The sequence below is a fragment of the Homo sapiens genome, chromosome 3 (assembly GCF_000001405.40).
Source record: "Homo sapiens chromosome 3, GRCh38.p14 Primary Assembly".
Taxonomy (NCBI): Eukaryota; Metazoa; Chordata; class Mammalia; order Primates; family Hominidae; genus Homo; species Homo sapiens.
In genome coordinates, this window is record NC_000003.12 from 185,609,425 (window position 1) to 185,634,331 (window position 24,907).

Below are 24,907 nucleotides of genomic sequence, written 5' to 3' on the forward strand. Positions count from 1 at the left end.
AAGGGCTTTACTGAAAGAAGAGGTTAACCCTGAGAGAACTAGCTCTGTCATTTGCCTGGATATTTATCTAGTAATGGATAATATGTAACAGTGGTTTTGCAAAGTAAAATTTTATGTTACCTTTAGGACCTTTTGTTCAAGTAAACTTTTACTTGAAACTCTTATATTAAAAAAGTGGATCACTGGTTGAAGTAGGGCTCCCAAGAGGCAGAGAGTTTCTTCAACCTCCCCAGCATACATTTCCCACAATCTCTCTCTCTACCTCCCTTCCCCACCCCACTCCTGCCCCTCTCTCCATTTCTCCCATCTCCCTTCCTTCCTTCCTTTCTCCTTCACCTCCTCCTGGTCTTTCTTTTTGTCTTTTTTCCTTCCCCCTGCCTCACCCCTACCCCATGAGACATACCTAGTCCCTGCGGCATCATAGAGATTGAATCTTAGCACATTTGGAAACCCACTAGAGACAAGATTAAAGTCTCCCAGGTCATAACAATTTTCCTTATAGGACAGCTTGTTAATTAAATAATGATTTAAGCAAATATTAATAGATGAGAGTGGCAGAAGGAAGTGATATTTGGCCTTGTATTTGCCTGTGAAAGGAGGACAAAAAATGTGTGAGCTCAGGATTGAGGTACACTAGGTAATTCTAACAAGTGGTGTGAGAAAACACAGGGATCCCAGAAATTATATAATAGCAAATCGAAGATTAAAAAGTCACAGAATATTATCTAGCTTTTTTTTTTTTTTTTTTTTTTTGAGATGGAGTTTCACTATTGTTGCCCAGGCTGGAGTGCAGTGATGCAATCTCAGCTCACTGCAATCTCCGCTTCCTGGGTTCAAGCGATTATCCTGCCTCAGCCTCCTGAGTAGCTGGGATTACAGGCGTCCACCGCCACGCCCAGCTAATTTTTTGTATTTTTGGTAGAGATGGGGCTTCACCATGTTGGCCAGGCCGGTCTCGAACACCTGATCTCAGGTAGTCCACCAGCCTCAGCCTCCCAGAGTGCTGGGATTACAGGCGTGAGCCACCGCACCCGGCCTACTATCTAGCTTTTGAATGCAGAAATAACAGATTGTTTGCGAATAATCAGTTGTGAACTTTAAAAAAAAATTCTTTTGGTTTAGTCAGAATGTCAGTATTTTCTCCATTTTGACCAGCCATATGTTGGAAACAGCAGTATGTTTAACGAACTCTTAACTTTGTCATGTTGGCGAAACCCTCAAACTATTTTTGCTTTTTAAAGTTGCTGCTTTGGCTGGGCACAGTGGCTCACACCTGTAATCCCAGCACTTTGGGAGGCCGAGGTGGACGGATCACGAGGTCAGGAGATCAAGATCATCCTGGCTAACACGGTGAAACCCCATCTCTACTAAAAAATACAAAAAATTAGCTGGGCATGGTGGCTGGCACCTGTAGTCCCACCTACTCGGGAGGCTGAGGCAGGAGAATGGCGTGAACCCGGGAGGCGGAGCTTGCAGTGAGCAGAGATTGTGCCACTGCACTCCAGCCTGAGCTACAGATCGAGACTCCGTCTCAAAATAAATAAATAAATAATTAAAGTTCCTGCTTCTGGCTGGGTGTGGTGGCTCACACCTGTAATCCCAGCGCTTTGGGAGGCCGAGGCAGGTGGGTCACTGGAGGTCAGGACTTCGAGACCAGCCTGACCAACATGGCGAAACCCCATGTCTACTAAAAATACAAAAATTAACCAGGTGTAGTGGCGTGTGCCAGTAATCCCAGCTACTTGGGAGGCTGAGGCAGGAGAACCACTTGAACCTGAGAGGTAGAGATTTCAGTGAGGCCATGATCACACCACTGCACTCCAGCCTGGGCGACAGTGCGAGACTCCGTCTCAAAAAACAAAAAGTTCTTGCTTTTAATGTATTGTTTCAGGATCCATTTAAATACATAGCTTAAAAAGTTTTTTATCTTTTAATCTGAGTTTTATCACACTGAGATTTTTCAGTTAGTGCATCACTGGGGATTCAGAACCTCTGATTTTACAAACAGAGAAACTGGAGGTTAGGTGACCTGGCTGAAATATTATTAGAATCATGATTAGACTCCTTTTATCCTAGTCCCACATAGTTGCTTCCTTTCTGTTGTAATTTGATATAATAGTGTAATCAATCACCCCTATTTGGAGAAGCTTGCTGGACAGAGATAATGCATATTAATGGTAGACTTTGCTTTTGTATCTGATCTCCCTCACTTTTTGTGTTTCTAAGTTCTCAAAGAAGTCAGATGGACACATTAAAGACCAAAGGCTGGGGGGAAGAGCAAAATCACGGAGTCAAAACAACTCAGTTTGTTCCAAAACAATGTGAGTTCCCAGATTTAGCCTTGTCTTAATATATTGACCTTAGTTCATGCTACAGTGTTCATATGAGGTAGAAAATTGACATTCAAGTGTAGATGGTGTACCAAAATACTGTCAAATCTCACAGCATTGGGCCGGGCGCGGTGGCTTACGCCTGCAATCCCAGCACTTTGGGAGGCCAAGGCAGATGGATCACCTGAGGTCAGGAGTTCAAGACCAGCCTGGCGAACATGGTAAAACCCCATCTCTACTAAAAATACAAAAATTAGCCAGGCATGGTGGCACTTGCCTGTAATCCCAGCTACTCAGGAGGCTGAGGAAGTAGAATTGCCTGAACCTGGGAGGTGGAGGTTGCAGTGAGCCAAGATCACGCCACTGCACTCCAGCCTGGGTGACAGTGAGACTCTGTCTCAAAAAAAAAAAAAAAACCTCACAGCATTGACTGGGGCTTATCTAGGAATTTAGTAGAAAAGCTGTTTCAGGGTGAAGTAGATTCATAACATGGCTCTGGATTATTATTCCTAAGCTGCTAGATAGTAGCAACTATTTTGTGAGCTGAAATTTTATTATATTCCTTATATAACAATTTCCTTATACTTCTCCACTTACTGTCCACTAAATGACAGCTTACCAGATAAGCAGATATCACTCAGTTTATAGTAAAGATTATATTTAAACAGCAAAGATATGTATGCATTTTTTTAGGCAACTTAGTATATAGGGAGGCTAGTGTCTTTGGAATTCACTGTAGCATTTCAATGTAGAGGAATGTCTTGATGTTGTGGAAACTCTGTAAGCTGAAATTCTAACTATATTATTCATCGATGAAGGAAACATTTAATCTTTTCTTTACCATCCTCACAGATAGACTTGTTGAAACAAGGGGACCTCTATGTTCATTGAGAAGTGAAAAGAGGTACGTACATTCAGTTCATTCTACACTTTCTTTTAATATATATTTTCTTACTTTATAAGCTGTATTTATGAGTAAGCAGTTCTGAGGAATTGTGAACTCTCTTGAGTTCTGGTAGTTGGTCAGCATATAGGGTAGATAGGTAGCTAGCTGTTGTGTCAGATGCCCACCCTAGCCTGGTGGGTTGAGGGGGGTGCCCCTTATCTCCCAGGCGTCAGGGGTTGGGAGAAACACATGCTTCTTAGATGGGAGTTTGGTTGGAGTGGGGATGTCTAGTGTCAGTGTCTTTAGGATAGGAACAGTAAAGGCAGCTCTGCATGCTTTAGGATTTTGGGATGATGGTTTATAGCAGAGTTTGTAAACTATGGCCCATGGGCCAAATCTGGTCTACTTGCCTATTTTTGTATAGTAAATTTCTATTGGAACATGCGAATTCATTTACATACTGTCTGGCTGCTTTTAAATTACAGTGGCAGAGTTGCCACGATGTGCCCAAGACCATAAAACCTGCAAAGCCTAAAATACTGTCTGTTCCTTTTCAGAAAAGTTCGTTGACTCCTGGTTTAGAGTATTATGTAAACTCAACACAATTTTTATGTACAAATTACGAAATCTTATTTCTAAAACTAGGATGTACTAGGTTTGAATCATCTAGCAGAAGTCTATCATCTCTCAATTTTTTTCCTTAGGTGTTCAAAGGGGAAAATTACTGATACAGAGACGATGGTCGGAATCAGATTTGAAAATGAAAGTGTAAGTAAAAATCCTAGTTACATTTGATACCTGTTTACTTATGTAACTTATGTTTTGGTGCCCATGAAAAGCAAGAAAAAGTATATATATATAACTTTGATTGTTAATTCTGTTGTTTTTCTTTAAAAAAGCAGCAAGCCAGCCAGTCACAGTGGCTCATGCCTGTAATCCCAGAACTTTAGGAGGCCAAGGCAGAAGGATCACTTGAGCCCAGGAGTTTGAGACCAGCCTGGGCAACATAGTGAGACTGTCTCCACAAAAAAATTTAAAAGTTAGCCAGGCATGGTGGCATGTCTGTAGTCCCAGCTACTTGGGAAGCTAAGGTGGGAGGATTGCTTGAGCCCAGGAGGTCAAGGCTGCAGTGAGCTGTGATCACACCATAGCACTCCAGCCTAGGTGACAGAATGAGACTCTGTCTCAAAAAAAAAAAAAAAAAAAAAGGCAGGAAGCATTGAAAATACACAACTTTTTTCTTCCTTCTGAGTTGTTGGAGTTTTGCCTCTGTACAGTAGCCACCTTTGTTTATGAGAGACCAATCTGCCTCCATACCAACATGTTACCTACATTTTATGGCTTCTTAGGGAGAATTTCTTAAAAATCATACATCTCTGGAAAGAGATGATATGTTCTGGGTTGCTGGCAGAATTCTATTTGTTTACTACAATTGTGGTTATATAGGTGTTCATTCAAATTAAGTGGTACATTAATGTTTTGTGCATTTTCTGTAATATCAAATGACTTTTTTCAAGGATAAACTAGAACCAAGTTGAGTTACTATAAAGATAGTAGGGATTTATTCTGAGTGATGGGATTGTGGGTCATATTTTTTGCTGTTTAAAACTTTCATAATATCTTTTAAACATACTAATTTTAATTGTGATAGGAGAACTGAAAATACTTTTCTTGCTACTTCCAGGGAAGGTGGTGAGTGTTCTGTTTGATGGTTCATAACTGAGGGTCCTGTGAGGCCTAGGTCTGGAGCTTTTTTTGCTCCCCCTTGCAGGGACAGACAGATAGGGTAAATCTACTCACTTGGGGGATTTGCTAATTCTCTTTTCTTTCACATTAGTGGCAGTTTTATATTTCATGTGTAATCTGTGTTTATATTTGCAAGTATCAAACATGTCAGTAGAATTTAGATAATTTTTTGATCAGAGGAGGGGATACCAACTGGAGCCTGACCTATCAGAAGAAGTGTCGGCCCGACTCCGCCTGGGCAGTGGAAGCAATGGCTTACTCAGGAGGAAAGTGTCAATAATTGAGACAAAGGAAAAGAATTGCTCAGGCAAAGAGAGGGACAGAAGAACGGACGATCTCCTTGAACTTACAGAGGTATTGTTCTTTGTATTGATCCTAAAAAGAGGCATGTCTTTAAATAACCTCAGTTATTCTAACTTGAATGTTTTGTTTTGAGGACTTTCTCCAGGCTAGGGGTGAATATATGAAAACATGTCAGGTCCATGGTCTGTTGATTCACTTTGACTACATTGATCTTTAGTGAGGCATGATCATTAGTGGCCTAAGGGATCAGATTGATATTCAGCAAATGGGGAGTCGACACAGTCATCTCATATCTTGGAATACAACAGATTCTTTGTAAATTCTAACCTTCAAATATGTTGAGTTATATAGTATGGGTTTGGCATTAAGAATAAGTTCATTGCATTTTTTTTTTGAAAGTTATTATAGTTTACTAAAATGCCCCCTTTGTTGATTATTGCATTTGAAAATAGTAAAAACTTACAGAACATAAAGAATGAAGGTAGTTAAAATTCTTATTTTAAAGATGTGCCCACATCTTGGCTTCCTCCACAATGTTGCCCTAGTAGGCAAATCTCTTGAATACTTACTGTTATATTGGGCATGTAGGTGGAGAGAGAGATCCATAAAATGGTGAAGCTGTGTGCAGTGGGAAGCAGCATATATTTAGAAGAAAATAATTTCTTTTTTTTGAGACAGAGTTTCGCTCTTGTTGCCCAGGCTGGAGTGCAATGGCGCGATCTTGGCTCACTGCAACCTCTGCATCCTGGGTTCAAGTGATTCTCCTGGCTCAGCCTCCCTAGTAGCTGGGATTACAGGCACCTGCCACCATGCCCAGCTAATTTTTGTATTTTTAGTAGAGACCGGGTTTCACCATGTTGGCTAGGCTGGTCTCGAACTCCTGACCTTAGATGATCTACCCACCTCGGCCTCCCAAAGTGCTGGGATTATAGGCGCAAGCCACTGCCCCCGGCCTAGAGGAAAATAATTTCTATTGGGTTTATAGATTTAGTTTTGTATCTTAAATAATGCATTTATCTGCATAATTCTTTAGTATGATGAAGCCATTTATTCCATAAGGAGTCAATTGCTAGACTGCTGGGTGGTTTCCAAGTTTCTGCCTGTTTGCTTATTCTCTTCATGTCAAAAAGGATGGTGTGACCCCTTAGATGTCCTAATCTTATTTTGATGTTTTATTTATTTATTTATTTTTGAGATAGAGTCTCGCTCTGTTGGCAGGCTGGAGTGCAGTGGCACAATCTCAGCTTACTGCAACCTCTGCCTCCCAGGTTCAAGTGATTCTTCTGCCTCAGCCTCCTGCGTAGCTGGGACTACAGGCGCGTGCCACCACGCCCAGCTAATTTTTGTATTTTTAGTAGAGATGGGGTTTCACCATGCTGGCCAGGCTGGTCTCGAACTCCTGACCTCATGATCCGCCCGTCTTGGCTTCCCAAAGTGCTGGGATTACAGGCGTGAGCCACCACACCCAGCCTTTTTTGATGTTTTAAAAGTTTAAAGGCGAGAATGGGCGTGGTGGCTCACGCCTGTAATCCCAGCACTTTGGGAAGCCAAGATGGGCGGATCATGAAGTCAGGAGTTCGAGACCAGCCTGGCCAGCATGGTGAAACCCCGTCTCTACCAAAAATACAAAAAAATAGCTGGCATGGTGGTGTGCACCTGTAATTCCAGCTAATCAGGAGACTGAGGCATGAAAATTGCTTGAACCTGGGAGGCAGAGGTTGCAGTGAACTGAGATCATGCAGCTGCATGCACTCCAGCCTGGGTGACAAAGTGAGAATCTGTCTCAAAAAAAAAAAAAAAAGAAGGGCCAGGCTGGTGGCTCACACCTGTAATCCCAGCACTTTGGGAGGCCGAGATGGGCAGATCACGAGGTCAGGAGATCGAGACCATCCTGGCTAACACAGTGAAACCCCGTCTCTACTAAAAATACAAAAAATTAGCCGGGCGTGGTGGCGGGCGCCTGTCATCCCAGCTACTCGGGAGGCTGAGGCAGGAGAATGGCGTGACCCCGGGAGGCGGAGCTTGCAGTAAGCCGAGATGGCGCCACTGCACTCCGGCCTGGGAGACTGAGCGAGACTCCGTCTCCAAAAAAAAAAAAAAACGTTTAAAGTGGAAATCAGGAGTTTACTATTATGAAGGGAGCAAAGTCCAGGAAATTAGATGCACCTGGGTTCAAATCTTCTTCTACCTTTTAATAATTATATGACTTTGAATATGTAAAATAAATTCTCTGGGTTTCAATTTTCTTCTCTATAAAATGATAATAATGTCTTCCTCACTAATATGGATCAATGATGTGCTTCAAGCATCTAACACCATGTTTGACTCATAGTGGTTAATACGTAGTAGTAGGAAAATTGAGACTATACTTTAGATGTAAATATTATTATTAAATTATTGTTTCCACAAGCTAATAAGTGAACCAGGATTTGTTGTAAGTATTACTTACAACAATTAAGTAAGGCTGCTTTGTAGTTATAAGTTAAAATATTTTCAGGGCTGGTGCAGTGGCTCATGCCTATAATCTCAGCACTTTGGGAGGCCAAGGCAGGTATTGCTTGAGCCCAGGAGTTTGCAACCAACTTGGGCAATATAATGAGGCCCCATCTCTATCACTAAAAATAAGAAAAAAATGTTTTCCTACTGTAGTTTAGTAGGTCTTTGATAGTATATTTTTCTCAAGAGTCAGGTGTTGCCGAGATGAAAAACTTTTTTCAGTCTCGGAGTTTTCAATAACTGATAATGAATGGTTCTATATTAAAATAGCAACTTCTGAACTTTCTAATTCAGGACATGGAAAAGGAAATCAGTAATGCCCTAGGCCATGGCCCACAGGATGAAATCCTAAGTAGTGCTTTCAAATTGCGAATTACTCGAGGAGATATTCAGACATTAAAGAACTATCACTGGCTCAATGATGAAGTAAGTTGTATTCCCTCCCCCTTTTGGCTATCATTAAGTTTATTTATTTATTATCTATAATCAAAGTGACTCCTACCCAGTTATAATGGGTTGGTAATGCAACTCTTAGTTATAATTAAAACAAAAACATTTTAAATCTTAAAAAGATGGTTAGTTCTGATTTTCTGCCTTTGATTAGCGATGTTTCCCTTTTCTGCGTCTGTATTTTATTGCATCCACCACTTCATTTACTGGTCTTCAATAAACCCTGGGTACAGCTGATAAACGGGAGGAAGCAGCAAGTGATACTGTATTTTAGGTGAATTCTTATAGTAGCTATTTTTTTGTTTTTGTTTTTTGGTTTTGTTTTTGAGACAGAGTTTTGCTCTTGTTGTCCAGGCTGGAGTGCAATGGCGCAATCTTGGCTCAGCGCAACCTCCACCTCCTGGGTTCAAGCAATTCTCCTACCTCAGCCTCCCAAGTAGCTGGGATTACAGGCATGCGCCACCATGCCCGGCTAATTTTGTATTTTTAGTAGAGACAGGGTTTCTCCATGTTGGTCAGGTTGGTCTCAAACTCTGGACCTCAGGTGATCCGCCCGCCTTGGCCTCCCAAAGTGCTGGGATTACAGGCGTGAGCCACCGTGCCTGGCCTGTTTTATTTTTTGAGTAATAAAGGGATATATTGATCACTATATACTATGTGTATTTTTCTTTGAGTGATAGCTGAAAAATTTTGCCTAACTTGTCATCTTGTATCCTTAATACATTTAGCAAAAGCTAACTCTTAAGTTCTTTGACAATTTTCTGGTGGGTTCTTCCCCGAACTGCTTAGCCCCTGCATGTTCTCTCTTTGAGGGAAGTCCCCTATGACTAGTTACTTATAAACACATTCTTTGAAAACAGGAATGTTTTGTTTTACATTATAAATGTAATTTGTTTATCGTAGAATATTTGGAAAATACAGGAAAAGTAAAAAATATTACTGTTCAAAAGTACCACCACTCGGCCGGGCGCGGTGGCTCACGCCTGTAATCCCAGCACTTTGGAAGGCTGAGGCGGGCGGATCACGAGGTCAGGAGACCGAGACCACCCTGACTAACACGGTGAAACCCCGTCTCTACTAAAAATACAAAAAAATTAGCCAGGCATGGTGGCGGGTACCTGTAGTCCCAGCTACTCGGGAGGCTGAGGCAGGAGAATGGTGTGAACCCGGGAGGCAGAGCTTGCAGTGAGCCGAGATCACGCCAGTGGACTCCAGCCTGGGCGACAGGGCAAGACTCCGTCTCAAAAAAAAAGTATCACCACTCAGAGATAAATAAAATATTATTTTGGTGTATGTCCTTCAAGTTAATATTTTAAAATTGAAGTCTAATTTATATGTAGTAAAATTCACTTACTGTTAATATTTCTGCGTATTTTTGGTGTGATACAGTTATGTAGATCTTTCCATTATTGCACAGACTTTCTTCCTGGATTCCTTCTTCTGGCTGTTAAGTGTTACTCACATGCCTTAAAAGTACAGTTTCATTTCATTTTCATGTGTCCCATTTTGCACTGATCACTTTTTTCCCTGTCTTCTACTATAGACAGTCTTTTTATCCTCTTCTTTAGTACCTTACCTTCGAATTCATCCTTATTCAGGTAGAAATTTAGTTTTGATAATATGTTTGCCATGTTCCAGCTTTTGCTCCCTTGGTATTTTGTAGGTCATTAATTTTTACATGAATCTTCTGGTGGAAAGAAATAAAAAGCAAGGCTATCCAGCACTTCATGTATTCAGTACTTTCTTCTATCCTAAATTAAAGTCTGGGGGTTACCAAGCAGTGAAACGATGGACCAAAGGGGTAAATCTCTTTGAACAAGAAATTATTCTGGTGCCTATTCATCGGAAGGTACATTGGAGCCTGGTGGTGAGTAGAGAGGGTTAATGGTTAATTGTTGGACTTGGATAAAGGCCATTTTTTAAAAATAATGCTGCCTTTTTCTGCCCTGTGTATAGAGGCCAATAGTATATATTATAAGCATACTCTGCAGAGTCTCTTTTTAGTTTTTTTTTTAATGTCCCATCCTTCACCCAACCCTTTTAGTTCTTTTTATTTATTTATTCTTTAAAAAATTTTATGTTTATTTTATTTTACTATTTTTTAAAATTACAGACCAGGTCTCGCTCTGTTGCCCAGGCTGGAGTGAACTGGTGTGATCATAGCTCATTGCAGCCTGGAAGTCCTGGACTCAGGTGATCCTCCTGCCTCAGCCTCCTGAGTGACTAGGACTACAGGCATGGTCCACCATGCTTGCCTAATTTTATTTATTTATATATTTGGAAAGATGGAGTCTTGCTATGTTGCCCTGGTTGGTATCCAACGCCTGGCCTCAAGTGGTTCTCCTGCCTCAGTTTTTCAAAGTGTTGGTATTACAGGTGTGAGCCACCATGCCTGGCCTTTTTTTCTTTTTCTTTTTCTTTTTTTTTTTTAAATTTTTATTTTTAGAGACAGGGTCTCATTCTGCCACCCAAGCTGGCATGCAGTGGCACAACCATAGCTCACTGTAACCTCCACCTCCTGGGCACAAGTGATCCTTTCACTTTAGCCTCCCAGGTAGCTGGGACTACAGACATGCACCACTATGCCTGGCTAATTTTTTTTAATTTATTTTAATTTTTTTGTAGAGACAAGAGTCTTGTTTTTTTGCCCAAGCTAGTCTTGAGCTCCTGGCTTTAAGCAGTCCTCCCACCTCAGCCTCTCAGAATGATGGGTGAGATGCCGCACCTGGCCTCCTTTTTAGTTCTTGAGTTGAACAACTTTTAGAAGGCTACAGGACGAAGTCCTTGTACTTGAGGAGCTTTTTTTTGTTTGTTTGTATGTTTTTGAGATGGAGTCTTGCTCTGTTTCCCAGGCTGGAGTGCAATGGCACGATCTCGGCTCACTGCAGCCTCCGCCTCCTGGGTTCAAGCAATTCTCCTGCATCAGCCTCCTGAGTAGCTGGGATTACAGGCACGTGCCACCACCATACCTGGCTAATTTTTGTATTTTCAGTAGAAATGGGGTTTTACCATGTTGGTCAGGCTCGTCTTGAACTCCTGACCTCGTGATCCGCCACCTCAGCCTCCCAAAGTGCTGGGATTATAGGCGGGAGCCACCGCACCTGGCCGAGGAGCTTTCATTTTTAACAGGAAAGAGTCTTAGTATGCATAAGGGTTATTTATATTTATTTAGTTTTGTTTACAAGATAGTACAGGTTTATTGCAGAAAAATGCATTTATAAGGCCAGGTGTGGTGGCTCATGCCTATAATCCCAGACTTTGGGAGGCTGAGGCAGGAGGGGTTGCTTGAGCCCAAGAGTTTGAGACCAGCCTGGGCAACATGGAAAGACCCTGTCTATACAAATTTAAAAATTTGCTGGGCGTGGTGGTGCACACCTGTGGTCCCAGCTTTGTGGGCATGGTGGTGCACACCTGTGAGAGGCTGAGGTGGAAGATTCCCTGAGCCCAGGAGGTCGAGGCTGCAGTGAGCCGTGATCACACCACTGCACTCCAGCCTGGGTCACAGAGTGAGATCTTGTCTCAAAAAAAAAAAAAAAAAAAAAGAGAGAGAGAAAGAAAGAAAAGAAGGAAAGAAAGATACAGATATAAAGAAAGCAAAAAAAAAAAAAAAAGTCTCATCACTCTGAGAGGACCACTAATTTTTTAACTTAAAAACACACTTTTTTTACTAAAGATACGTAAGACACATTTTTAACTAAAAAAAAAAAAATACATGTACCAATATAAGTGGATATCGTTTTTCTTTTTTTTCTTTTTTTTTTTTTTTTTTTTTTTGAGACAGAGTCTCGCTATCACCCAGGCTAGAGTGCAGTGACACAATCTCGGCTCACTGCAACCTCTGCCTCCCGGGTTCAAGTGATTCTTCTGCCTCAGCCTCCTGAGCAGCTAGGATTACAGGCGCGTGCCATCATGCCCGACTAATTTTTGTATTTTTAGTAGAGACGGGGTTTCGCCATGTTGGTCAGGCTGGTCTCGAACTCCTGACCTCATGATCCGCCCGCCTCAGCCTCCCAAAGTGCTGGGATTACAGGTGTGAGCCACCATGCATGGCCCATAAATGGATTTCTAAGATACATAAAAAATTTATATTGGTACATGTATTTTTTAAAAGATGCTTTTATTTTTGGAAGTAAAATTCTCACTCCTCTTACATTTAAGATGTTTCTGGATGTTATCTTTTTCCATTATAGGTGATTGACCTAAGAAAAAAGTGTCTTAAATATCTGGATTCTATGGGACAAAAGGGCCACAGGATCTGTGAGATTCTCCTGTAAGTAAAGGTTGAAAACCTCACTACCCCCTGTTGAGGTGATCTCTCTTTTATCTCATCCTAGGAAGCTGTGTGGATGGTAGTCTAATGTGTAGTTAAGGCTATTTCAGGACTTAGCATGCATTTTATTTTTAAAATAATAGCTGATTTCAACTGAGAAAACGTGTTTAGTAGCATCACTGGAAACAAGTTTGTCATGTATTATGATGTAAAATAGATCTTATTAGAATCCTGTGACTTGCATTAGATTTCTTTGGCATCGATACGTTATTCTGAATGTTCTTAGGAACTGTTAGTTGGGGAGTGCTAGTCCTCTCAATTCTTAAGCCCATTTGTATCTTTATGCTTTCCATGAGAGTTGGGTTTATCTCAGAACCCAGGGGCAGTGTTTAAAGTGTGTGGTTTGAGGAGACTGTTTCAAATAGTAATTGCTATAATAGAAACCAATCTTTAAAGCATACCTACTTCTTAGCTAGGTAAAGTAGTGACATGAGTTGAGTGAGAAAACGCATCAGTAAGATGGGTCCATTTTTCCTTTTCTGCTCACTAGAAGCAATGAAGTTCCTTCTTTTAACTTTACTAAGGACAAATGAATCTTGTGAAGAAAAGTTGTTGCTAACAATAATATTGTTTTAGTATAAAATATTATTTTTATTTATGGTTGTTTATCTTGAATAAAAAGCATAGAGAAGAAAATTCTAAAAATCATAAGATACACCAATTGTTTATAAAATGGTTCTCTTCTAGTCTTTTCTTTGTAAGATGTGTATAAATTGTGCGCACATACATTTGCATTCATATGTATACATATATTATCCCATGTATAGAAATGTTCTTACTGGGATCATACAGTATAGTTTGATGTGCTGCTTATACCAGGATTTGAAAATTCATACTTTATTACATTCATGCTTTTTTTTTTTTTTTTTTTTTTTTGAGATGGAGTCTCATTGTGTCACCCCATGCAGTGGTGCAGTCTCAGCTCACTGCAACCTCTGCCTCCTGGGTTCAAGTGATGCTCGTTCCTCGGCCTCCCAAGAAGCTGGGAGTACAGGCTTCCGTCACTATGCCCGGCTAATTTTTGAATTTTTAGTAGAGACAGGGTTTCTCCATGTTGATCATGCTGGTCTTGAACTCCCAACCTCAGGTGATCCGCCCGCCCCAGCCTCCCAAAGTGCTGGGATTACAGGCGTGAGCCACCGTGCCCGGTGGTCTTTGGCTTTTTATGTTATTTATTTATTTGTTTGTTTTTTGAGATGGAGTTTCACTCTTGCTGCCCAGGCTGGAGTGCAATGGCGTGATCTCGGCTCACCGCAACCTCTGTCTCCCGGGTTCAAGAGATTCTCCTGCCTCAGCTCCCAAGTAGCTGGTATTAAAGGCTTGTGCCACCACGCCCGGCTAATTTTGTATTTTTAGTAGAGATGAGGTTTCTCCATTTTGGTCAGGCTGGTCGCAAACTCCCGACCTCAGGTGATCCATCCGCCTTGGCCTCCCAAAGTGTTGATATACAGGCGTGAGCCACCGCACCCGGCCTATGTTATTTTTTGTATCTTAATTTTGGTGGGGGCATCTAATGCTTATCAACCTGATATATATTTCAACTTTTAAAAACAAGCATGTACAATTTTTATAAGCAGACCTCCCCAAATTAAATAAAAAATCCAGAAAGCCACTTTGGGAGGCTGAGGCAGGCGGGATCACAGGCTCAGGAGATCGAGACCATCCTGGCTAACACGGTGAAACCCCATCTCTACTAAGAAAAATACAAAAAATTAGCAGGGCGTGGTGGCGTGCTCCTGTGGTCCCAGCTACTTGGGAGGCTAAGTCAGGAGAATGGCGTGAACCCGGGAGGCAGAGGTTGCAGTGAGCCGAGATCGCGCCACTGCACTCCAGCCTGGGCGACAGAGCGAGACTCTGTCTCAAAAAAAAAAAAAAAAAAAAAAAATCCAGAAAGCAGTCACGTTTTTAAAAAGCTAATGAATATGGATTTGAGAATGGCATATCTGTTTAACATCAGAAAGCCCTATGTAACCATAATGGTTAATTTCTTTAGGGATTTATTGATGTATTCCTTCTTTGTTTTGCTTTTTAGTCAGTATTTACAGGATGAAAGTAAGACCAAAAGAAATAGTGATCTGAATCTTTTAGAGTGGACCCATCACAGCATGAAACCACACGTGAGTGACGATCATCTACATGTGACATACTTGGTTGCATTTACTAATAGTATATTATCTAGATTTGGCTCCCTTCCTGCCCTTCCTCCCTCCCTGCATGCTTTTAAAGTACACATCTTTTTTTTTCTTTCTTTCTTTTTTGTAGAGATGGGATCTTGCTTTGTTGCCCAGGCTAGTCTCGGGCCTCCCAAAACAAAGTGCTGGGATTACAGGTGTGAGCCACCATGCCTGGCCAGAGTCTACATCTTAAGAATGATCTGCTTCTAAATCTCTAGCAATTAATCTAACTAAAATGGGTGCTTAGCTTTCATCTTCTTGTCTAAATGTAAATATTAACATATGCTTGCATGTCTCTCACAGAATTGGGAAGAAACCCAATACATTGAAGTTGGCTAATTTCCCGGTTGGTGCTAATGAAAGTTTACATTTCTTTTCCAAAATTTGGGAGTTTGTTTAAGTCTTAGGATCCCATGCCAAAAAAAGCATTTTAATTTCTAAACTGAAAAGTTTGGGCCAGGCGCGGTGGCTCACACTTGTAATCCCAGCACTTTGGGAGGCCGAGGTGGGCAGATCACCTGAGGTCAGGAATTTGAGACCAGCCTGGCCAACATGACAAAACCTTGTCACCACTAAAAATTAACTGGGTCTGGTGGCACGTGCTTATAATCCTAGCTATTCAGGAGGCTGAAGCAGGAGAATCACTTGAACCCGGTAGGCAGAGGTTGCAGTGAGCCGAGATCGCACCACTGCACTCCAGCCTGGGCAACAGAGCGAGACTGTCTCAAAAAAAAAAAAAAGAAAAAGAAAAATTTGAAGGATAAGCTTTGAAATTTCCTAAGGAGAGCACAGATACAAGGAAGAGTCTGTTAGGATGAATACTGTGTTCTGGTATGGGAAATGGAATAAAGAAAACAAACTGCCTTTCTTTGTATATTGTAGTCTCTAGTTTTGTCCATTCTGTGAGAGATGCTAGGCTTGAGAGAAAAGTGTGAGGTATATGCGTATGTATGGGTGGTATGTATTTAAGCAAATTTTTTTTTTTTTTTTGAGACGGAGTCTCGCTCTGTCGCCTAGGCTGGAGTGCAGTGGCGCAATCTTGGCTCACTGCAAGCTCCGCCTCCCGGGTTCATACCATTCTCCTGCCTCAGCCTCCCGAGTAGCTGGGACCACAGGCGCCTGCCACCACGCCTGGCTAATTTTTTGTATTTTTAGTAGAGACGGAGTTTCACCATGTTAGCCAGGATGGTCTTGATCTCCTGACCTCGTGATCCGCCCGCCTCTGCCTCCCAAAGTGCTGGGATTACAGGCGTGAGCCACCGTACCCGGCCACTAGGCAAACTTTAAAAATCATAATCAACTTCATTTCTTTGAGTAAAAATTGAGCTATTGTCATCTAGTGTGTTTTCCAGCAATAACTTGCGCTAATTGTGACTGACAGCCAGAGTGTGTCAGGGACTGCCAAGATTAGGGCAACACAGGCCTGGAGAAGGTGTGAGCTCAGTGGGGTTAGAATCCACCACCTTTGGCTTATTATGCTCTTAGTGCTGCTTGTACCAAGTGTTTTTGCCTTACGGCAGAACTGATCCATCAAGGCAAGATCCTAATTGGTTAAAGCCTATCCAGAACTTCTCTCTGTCCACCTTGAAGCTGTAGGGTCCAAAGCAGTAGTCTTATTTTCTTAGCTAGAGAAGTTACATTTCCGATTGACCACACTTGGCCCTTTTTAAAATTGATAAATGCTTCTGAAATAATTCTGACTAGCATCCCTGGTAGTAAACCTCCTTTCAGTTTGGTTTCTTGGAATGGGAGCTGAGAGATGCAACTCTCACTTTGTGTTTTTCTCTTCTGAAAAGCATTTCCTGTGGGGTCGGGTCATGCACTCCATCTCATAGTTAGGGTTTCCAATCAAATGCAGAGCCATGGAGAATTAAACAGAAGAACAGAACAGAAAGGAAAAGCAGTATTCACAAGTTACATCTTAGACCTGTGGCTTCAGTTCTCACAAGGCCTGTTTTTCCCTTGCTATGATCTATGTTTTATACCACATAGAGTAAGAATAATTGTGTTTTTTGTATATGACTGTGTGTTTAGGTAATACCTGATTTAATATTTACCTTTATAATATTGTTTACAGCAATATTTAGAAAAAGTCCAAGGAATTTGTATTTAATGATGTTTTACCCTTTCCTCTCTTCTTTTTTCTTTGTAATTTTAGGAGATTCCTCAACAGCTGAATGGGAGTGATTGTGGAATGTTTACTTGTAAATATGCAGATTATATTTCTAGGGACAAACCTATCACATTTACTCAGGTGAGTGAAGACCCTCTTCATCCATTTACTTGTTACTAAGCAAGATAAGGCACTTGGCCAGTGCCTGGCACACATTCAGCTCTCAATAGTAGTAGCTGGCCAGGCGTGGTGGCTCACACCTGTAATCCCAGCACTTTGGGAGGCCGAGGCGGGTGGACCACCTGAGGTCAGGAGTTCAAGACCAGCCTGGCCAACATGGTGAAACCCCATCTCTACTAAAAATACAAAAATTAGCCAGGCGTGGTGGTGCATGCCTATAATCCCAGCTACTCAGGAGACTGAGGCAGGAGAATCACTTGAACCCAGGAGGTGGAGGTTGCAGTGAGCCGAGGTCGCACCAGTGCACTCCAGCCTGGGTGACAGAGCGAGACTCTGTCTCAAAAATAAATAAATAAAATAAATAGTAGTAGCTGGGCTCATGCCTGTAATCCCAGCACTTTGGGAGGCCGAGGCAGGTGGATCACCTGAGGTCAGGAGTTCGAGACCAGCCTGACCAACATGGAGAAACCATGTCTCTACTAAAAATACAAAAAATTAGCCACGTGGTGGTGCATGCCTGTAATCCCAGCTACTAGGGAGGCAGGCTGAGGCAGGAGAATTGCTTGAACCCGGGAGGTGGAGGTTGTGGTGAGCCGAGATCGTGCCATTGCACTTCAGCCGCCTGGGGCAACAGGAGAGAAACCCTGTCTCAAAAAAAAAAAAAAAAAAAAAAAATAGTAGTAGCTGTGCTATTCTTATTGCTGTAAATCTTGGTTTTAGCCCTACTCCTGCCAGAATCAGGGTTATTTTATCTGCTCTCAGGTTTATCCTAGTCTTTGGTGACACAATGGGCACAATTTGCAAATCTCTGAACTGTGGCATTCATTGGTTCCTGTGTATTATTATTTCTAGCCAAAGAAAGAGGTATGTCAGTGTTTAATAGCAAGGGAAAAATCGGCCTGTGAGAACTGAAGCCACAGGTCTAAGATGTAACTTGTGAATACTGCTTTTCCTTTCTGTTCTGCTCTTTTGTGTTTGTTTTGTTTTGTTTTGTTTTTGAGATGGAGTCTCGCTTTGTTGCCCAGGCTGGAGTGCAGTGGCACGATCTCAGCTCACTACAACCTCTGCCTTCTGGGTTCAAGCAATACTCCTGCCTCAGCCTCCCCAGTAGCTGGGACTACAGGCATGCGCCACCATGCCCAGCTAATTTTTGTATTTTTAGCAGAGATGGGGTTTCACCGTGTTGGCCAGGCTGGTCTCGAACTCCTGACCTCGTGATCCACCTGCCTCAGCCTCCCAAAGTGCTGGGATTACAGGCGTGAGCCACCGCGCCTGGCCTGTTCTGCTCTTTTGTTTAATTCTCCATGGCTTTGCATTTGATTGGAAACTCAAGTATGTTGGGAATTCTTGAGAATTTGTAACAGTGGATTCTCAACCTTTTTACAACTGAGGACAACCTCATTAAAGAATATTTTTCATCCACAGACCTTATTTTGATAGATGTTGTCTACCAAGCAAACTGTATGTATTCCATGAATACAAACTGTAATACAAACTCTATTACGTGAAGTAACTAGGACTCCCGTGCTGAATTAATATAATTCCAGTAAAAAATAAAGGCATTTATTGCTTAGTCTCAGCAGTTTTACTAAGAGCAAATGTGCAGTTTTTACTAGATGTTTTGAACTATTTAAAATAATTTAAGAATCATGTGTTAAGACTTTTTAGCCCCCACCCCTAGGGAGGACATCACTAGTTTATTATTATTATTATTATTATTTTGAGATGGAGTCTTGCTCTGTTGCCCAGGCTGGAGTGCAGTGTGGTGTGATCTTGGCTCACTGCAACCTCCCTCTCAGGTTCAAGCGATTCTTCTGCCTCAGCCTCCCCAGTAGCTGGGACTACAGGCATGTACCACCATGCCTGGCTAATTTTTGTATTTTTAGTAGAGACAGGGTTTCACCATATTGGCCAGGCTGGTCTTGAACTCCTGACCTCAGGTGATCCACCTGCCTTGGCCTTCCAAAGTGCTGGGATTACAGGCATGTGCCACCACGCCCGGTGACATCACTAGTTTATAGTAAGGGACATCCAACTATTTATAATGATACATCAGGAGTGCCTCAATAATGTGAACTTCTTTTTTTGTTTGAGACGGAGTTTCGTTCTTGTTGCCCAGGCTGGAGTGCAATGGCGCAATCTCAGCTCACTGCAACCTCCGCCTCCCGGGTTCAAGCAAGTCTTCCGCTTCAGCCTCCCAAGTAACCGTGATTACAGGAATGCGCCACCACCCCTGGCTAATTTTGTATTTTTAGTAGAGACGGGGTTTCTCCATGTTGGTCAGGCTGGTTTCGAACTCCTGGCCTCAGGTGATATGCCCACCTTGGCCTCCCAAAGTGCTGGGATTACAGGCGTGAGCCACCGCGCCTGGCCAAGAATGTGAACTTCCGTATACACTAGAAGGACTAGTTGTACTACGGGTAATTTTGGAGTTGCTTTTTGTGTTGCTGCTTTGCAAATTGCCCATGTAGTGATTCTCAGTTAAAGCAGAATCATTTATTAAGCAAAACATCTCATTGTTTCATGTTGCCAAATAGCAAAGCAGTTGGCTGTTCTCTGAACCTAATAAGATGAGATTTTAAAGGGAGAAGTTGCTGTTTGAACAGAATTGGCAATGTACAACGCCTGGTAGAGCAGAAAGAAACTTGTAGATTTTGTTGTTTTTTATTTAAATAAATACGTTTTTCTCATAAAAAAACAGAATATGTTCATTTTAGAATGTTTTGAAAATTCATATAAGTAGAAAAGTTGCCTATTGTGCCACCACGTGGATATTTGCAGGACTGTGAAGTTGTACTATACTGTATAATTCTACATCCTGCTTTGGTTTTCCTTAACATATAAAAATGCTTATGGTAGGCCGCCTGTGGTGGCTTTTGCCTATAAATAATCTCAGCACTTTGGGATGCTGAGGCGGGCGGATCACCTGCAGTTAGGAGGTCAAGACCAGCCTGGCCAACATGGTGAAACCCTGTCTCTACTAAAAATATAAAAAATAAGCCGGGTGTGCTGGCACATACCTGTAGTCCCAGCTACGCTGGAGACTGAGGGACAAGAATCGCTCGAACCCAGGAGGCAGAGGTTGCAGTGAGCAGATCGCGCCACTGCACTCCAGCCTGGGTGACACAGCAAGACTCCATCTCAAAAAAAAAAAAAAAGTGCTTATGGTACATATCATGTAATTATGAACTGTTAAAAATGGTTTTATAAGTATGTTCCATGATGTAAAAATGTCAACACTTAGAAAAAGCACATGGACATCCTGCTTTATTACATGATTACACCTGAAGGTTGTGCTGCCATGCACATTAATATGTAATGCGGGCGTTGTTTATGGGGTTCTTTGCAGCACCAGATGCCTCTCTTCCGGAAGAAGATGGTGTGGGAAATCCTTCATCAGCAGTTGCTGTGAGAAAACTTTGCCTGGTCCCTCTAGCTGCTGGTGGTTCTTTCACAGACATTTCCATATACCTCATGCATTGTGGGTTAAAAAGTCCCTGCATCACTTCTGTTCTCACAGGTACTGAGCTGTCAAAAGTGCATGAAGGCCTCTCACTGTACTCTAGTCCTGACTTGGGGTGCAGAGGGCTGCTTGCAATCCTGTTTGTAAGGCTGTGCCTGCTCAGAGCTTTGGACTGTTCAACCCACACAAGAACAAACGCTAACTAATATTTTTTTTAAGAGATTCTTTTCCCTATGAATGTGGGAAATGCAGGATTTATTCTGTGAATTGTTTGTTTCTGTGTGTTTGTTCAGCGTATTCATTCACTCACTCGTTTGCAAACATAATGGGCAGTGGTCATTTACTGCTGCTCTTTTACAGTTAGCTCTAAATTACTTGTTTGAACTATTTATTTCTGAAAGGAATGTTACTCAAGCTGCCACTCCCTGCTGAAGAGCAGGAGGGAACTCTCACTGGGGGCGGAAGGAAGTGGAGCTGGAGCAGTAACTGCCAACATGAAGCTGGAGGGTTTGGGATTTTTTTTGTTTTTGTTTTTTTGAGGCTCAAAAAATGCTGGGAGAAATGAAAATGCTGTGGGATAGGGCTCCTGTTGCCTTTCAGAGGAAGTCTGACACTACAGCGTTGGCACAGTGCCGTGAACAGTGGAACTGTGCCCAAGGGACTCTGATTATCCAAGCATCTTCCGAAGAGTGTTGTGGTCACCTTAAAGAGACTTCCCCTTCTGGAAATGTGGTGACTTGGCTTAGTCTTCAAACTGGATTCATGGATTTGAAGTAACTGTAAACCCTAAATCTTCATTTTCATCCCAGATCTGGTTGAGTATAAACCTCAGAATTGTAGGGGCTGGCCTGAGCTGTTTATTTCAAAAGATACTATTCAATTTAAAGCTATTTTTCCTCAGAGTTTTTGTTTTCTATATATTAAGTCTAAATTAAGTTTTCTACTCATTAAGACTAACATCTCCCCACTCCATCCCCACTGAAATTTGTGGAAGAAAATTTAGTACTTGGCTCTGAGGTTGCCAGTTATACAATAATCTATTTTGCATATGAAAGTTTGTATTTAACTTTTTTGTTCATTAAAAACCTTACTGATATGGTTATAACTTCAGACAGTTTAGAGTTGGTCAGAACATATTTTGCAAGATCTAGTGCCTAGTGTTGCTTTTCTGATGTAATAAAAGGTGGTCTGGCAGAACCTAAAAAAGTATATGCTGAAATGATTTCTAACCCTCTCCCTACTTAAACCTCCCAGACTTGTTCTGGTTCATAAAAGCAAGAGGTAAAACTGGAAAAATTGTGCACGTGTTACCTATGAATCTACACGCCTGCCATTTGCAGTGCTCCGGCTGCTGGTCCCAGAGGTATACTGGTTACAGCTATTGCAGCCAGTTCCCTGAGACTTGTAAAACTCCTGGTTTAGGACATGGGGCCTGTGGTGTGGATGGAAAATGCTGGGCCTACTGGATGGTCAGCCAGAGGCCATGTGGTGGGTGATGACTGAAGCGGGAGCAGGTTGTACCACACCTCTCCCCCCCCCCTCCCACTCCCCCTCCCTCCCTCTCCCCTCCCCCTCCCTCCCTCCCCCCTCCCTCCCTCCCCCCCCTCCCCCTCCCTCCCCCTCCCTCTCTCCCTAACACCCACCCTCCCCCTTTCCCCCACCCTCCCCCCTTCTCCCCTTTCCCCACCCTCCCTCCCCCCTTCCCCCTCCCCCCCCCCCCCCCGCAGCCCCTGCTCCTTTCTCTGGGCTCCTGGCATTGTGCCAGTGAGTGCTGGGACCAGGTAATGAGCACAGCCAAAAAGGCCAGAGGTTCACTAGGTCAGCATCATACCAAACGCCTGGCTTTCACCAGGCATCAGTGTGCTTCACTTGAGAGTTTGGTACCATGGTTAAGATCGAGTCCATGCTAGGTAAGTCCTGTTAGGAATGTCAGTTTGTATTCCGCCCACGTGAATGATGCTGAGCTTAATGTATTATTTTGAGGGGCTTCTTCAGAGCAGTTCTCACTGAGCTTTCCATTAACCTACACTCTTCCGGACGGCTCTTAAAACTTGCAGGACATAATGAAATTGGGAAGAGCAGAGTGTTGAAGTCTATAGCATGGCCTTCTGCTTGACCCTGAGTTCCTGAATTGAATGTGGGAGACCACAGGCCATACTTCTCTAGGCACTCACATGTCTCCCTTGGCATAAGGAAACATGTTAGTAATATAGTTTTTTAGATCCAAACAGTTTATTTGGATCTAAAAGTTTAAGTGTTCAGTTGAAAAACAGCTATTGATTTTATTAGTAGCAAATTATCACCATTAAAGCCAGTGGTTTTTTTTTTGTTTTTTTTTTTTGTTTTTTTTTTTTTTTTTTGCGACAGAGTCTCTTGTCGCCCAGGCTGGAGTACAATGGTGTGATCTCAGCTCACTGCAACCTCCGCCTCCCAGGTTCAAGCGATTCTCCTGCCTCAGCCTCCTGCGTAGCTGGGATTACAGGTGCCCACCACCACACCCTGCTAATTTTTGTACTTTTAGTAGAGATGGGGTTTCGCCATGTTGGCCAGGCTGGTCTTGAACTGCTGACCTCAGGTGATCCACCCGCCTCGGCCTCCCAAAGTGCTGGTATTACAGTCATGAGCCACCTCACCCAGCCTGTTTTTGAGACGGAGTTTCACTTTTGTCGCCCAGGCTGGAGTGCAATGGCGCTATCTCAGCTCACTGCAACCCCCACCTCCCAGGTTCAAGCGATTCTCCTGCCTCAGCCTCCCGAGTAGCTGGGATTACAGGCATGTGCCACCACCCCTGGCTAATTTTGTATTTTTAGTGGAGACGGGGTTTCTCCATGTTGGTCAGGCTGGTCTTAAACTCCCGACCTCAAGTGATCTGCCCGCCTCGGCCTCCCAAAGTGCTGGGATTACAGGCGTGAGCCATTGCACCTGTCCCTGCCAGTGTGTTTTTAAAATAGTTTAGGGGGTTGAGAAAAGATGCAGTGAGCCATTATTCTCCTTTAGCAGGTAGTCTCTTAAAAATTGATGTGGATTTTAAAAATATACCATTGAGAACACGTATCTTTCTCAAACTTGACCTTGAACAGAGCTGGATGGGGGTGGGAGGGAAACAGATTTGGGGCATATGGAAGATATTCTTGGGAGCCCCATATTCTACCTCAGTTACCGAAGGCTATTAGAACCTCTGAATTTTTCCTCCTCTGAAATCCTAAGCACAACTTCAGAAAACCATGTCTGATAGCGGATGTCTTCCTGCTGTGAGGAGCTGCTTGATGTGGGGACCAAGGTGTGGGTGTGGGCGGAATGTATCCTAGTAGAAACAGTGAACCTCAGATATGAATAAATAAGCAAGAGACCGAAAGTTAAGTGTGTGACAACCTCAGTACTGTAGTTAAGCTACATTCTTTAAATTAGCTTTTGTGAACTGATTGGGAACCTAATCTCTTTTGTAACTGTTTGAGAAAAACTCTGAAGCACCTGATATTCAAACAAACTTATGGTACTTACTAACTCATTTGTAAATTGGCGATGTAGCTGGCTGTAGTATTGCTTTGATAATTTTTTTCTTTTAATTTACCTAATATATATAAGGAAGGGGTTTGGATATATTAAAATAGGTGTTAATTTTATCTATTTACCAATAAATTCATCTCTTTAATTCAGTGGCTTTCACTTGTTTTTTATTGCAACTCATAGGAATAAGTATTTTATGTTGTGACCACACACACACACACACACAGTGTGATTGTATATGGACACAAACAACATTGCACATACACTTTTGTGAAGTAATACATATCCTTACTATGATGATAGTTTTATTTCAGTTTTTAAAAACATTTAGGTTGTAACCACCAAGTTGATTTCTCTGCCCACTAATGGACAGATAATGCAGAGAAGGAAAATACTGCTCTAAGTGACCTGACCGCGAGGCAAATGATGTTTAAAACCATAAAGCCTGAGACCAAAAAATACCATATATATTATAAATGTGAGGCTGTTTTGAGATGACTCCATCTAAATCTAGGAAAACAGACTAGCAGCTTTGAGACTTTTGATGGAAATATGTGGTGGAAACAATCTTTAGGTTCTCAGATGGGCATTTCCTAAAATGTGTTAAGTAGAAGTCTTGTAACTTGTATAAAAAATATGAAATCCCAGCACTTTGGGGGCCATTGAGGCAGGAGAATTGCTTGAGCCCAGGAGTTTGAGACTAGCCTGGGCAAGATAGCAAGACCTCAGTTTTTTTTTGTTGTTGTTTTTTTTTGTTTGTTTGTTTTTAAAGGATATAAAGCAAAGGGTCTGTGGGCCAATGAATATGTGTACCATGTCCTTTCCTCCTGGGGATGTATAACAAACATCATAAGAAGTTTGATATGAACGAGTTATGTCTTAACCTAGCATTTCCCAAAACTTGGACATTGAACCCTTTTCTATGAGAC

The 24,907-nt window shown here is 42.3% G+C and overlaps 1 protein-coding gene across 3 annotated transcripts in view; it reads left to right on the top strand.

Moving 5' to 3' along the window:
• Positions 1 to 24,127, top strand: part of SENP2 (SUMO specific peptidase 2) — a 47,257-nt gene extending 23,130 nt beyond the window's left edge. For 2 of the 3 annotated variants that reach the window (NM_021627.3, XM_005247691.4), the window contains 10 exons: positions 2,227 to 2,321; positions 3,183 to 3,234; positions 3,921 to 3,984; positions 5,140 to 5,316; positions 8,056 to 8,187; positions 9,875 to 10,078; positions 12,402 to 12,481; positions 14,574 to 14,658; positions 16,874 to 16,969; positions 20,358 to 24,127. In NM_021627.3, the coding sequence (NP_067640.2) occupies positions 2,227 to 2,321; positions 3,183 to 3,234; positions 3,921 to 3,984; positions 5,140 to 5,316; positions 8,056 to 8,187; positions 9,875 to 10,078; positions 12,402 to 12,481; positions 14,574 to 14,658; positions 16,874 to 16,969; positions 20,358 to 20,420 (1,048 nt within the window). In that variant the 3' untranslated portion in view covers positions 20,421 to 24,127. The remainder of the gene's footprint in view (positions 1 to 2,226; positions 2,322 to 3,182; positions 3,235 to 3,920; positions 3,985 to 5,139; positions 5,317 to 8,055; positions 8,188 to 9,874; positions 10,079 to 12,401; positions 12,482 to 14,573; positions 14,659 to 16,873; positions 16,970 to 20,357) is intronic. The other variant, XM_005247690.4, reaches the window with a different exon arrangement.
• Positions 24,128 to 24,907: the final 780 nt, after the last annotated feature.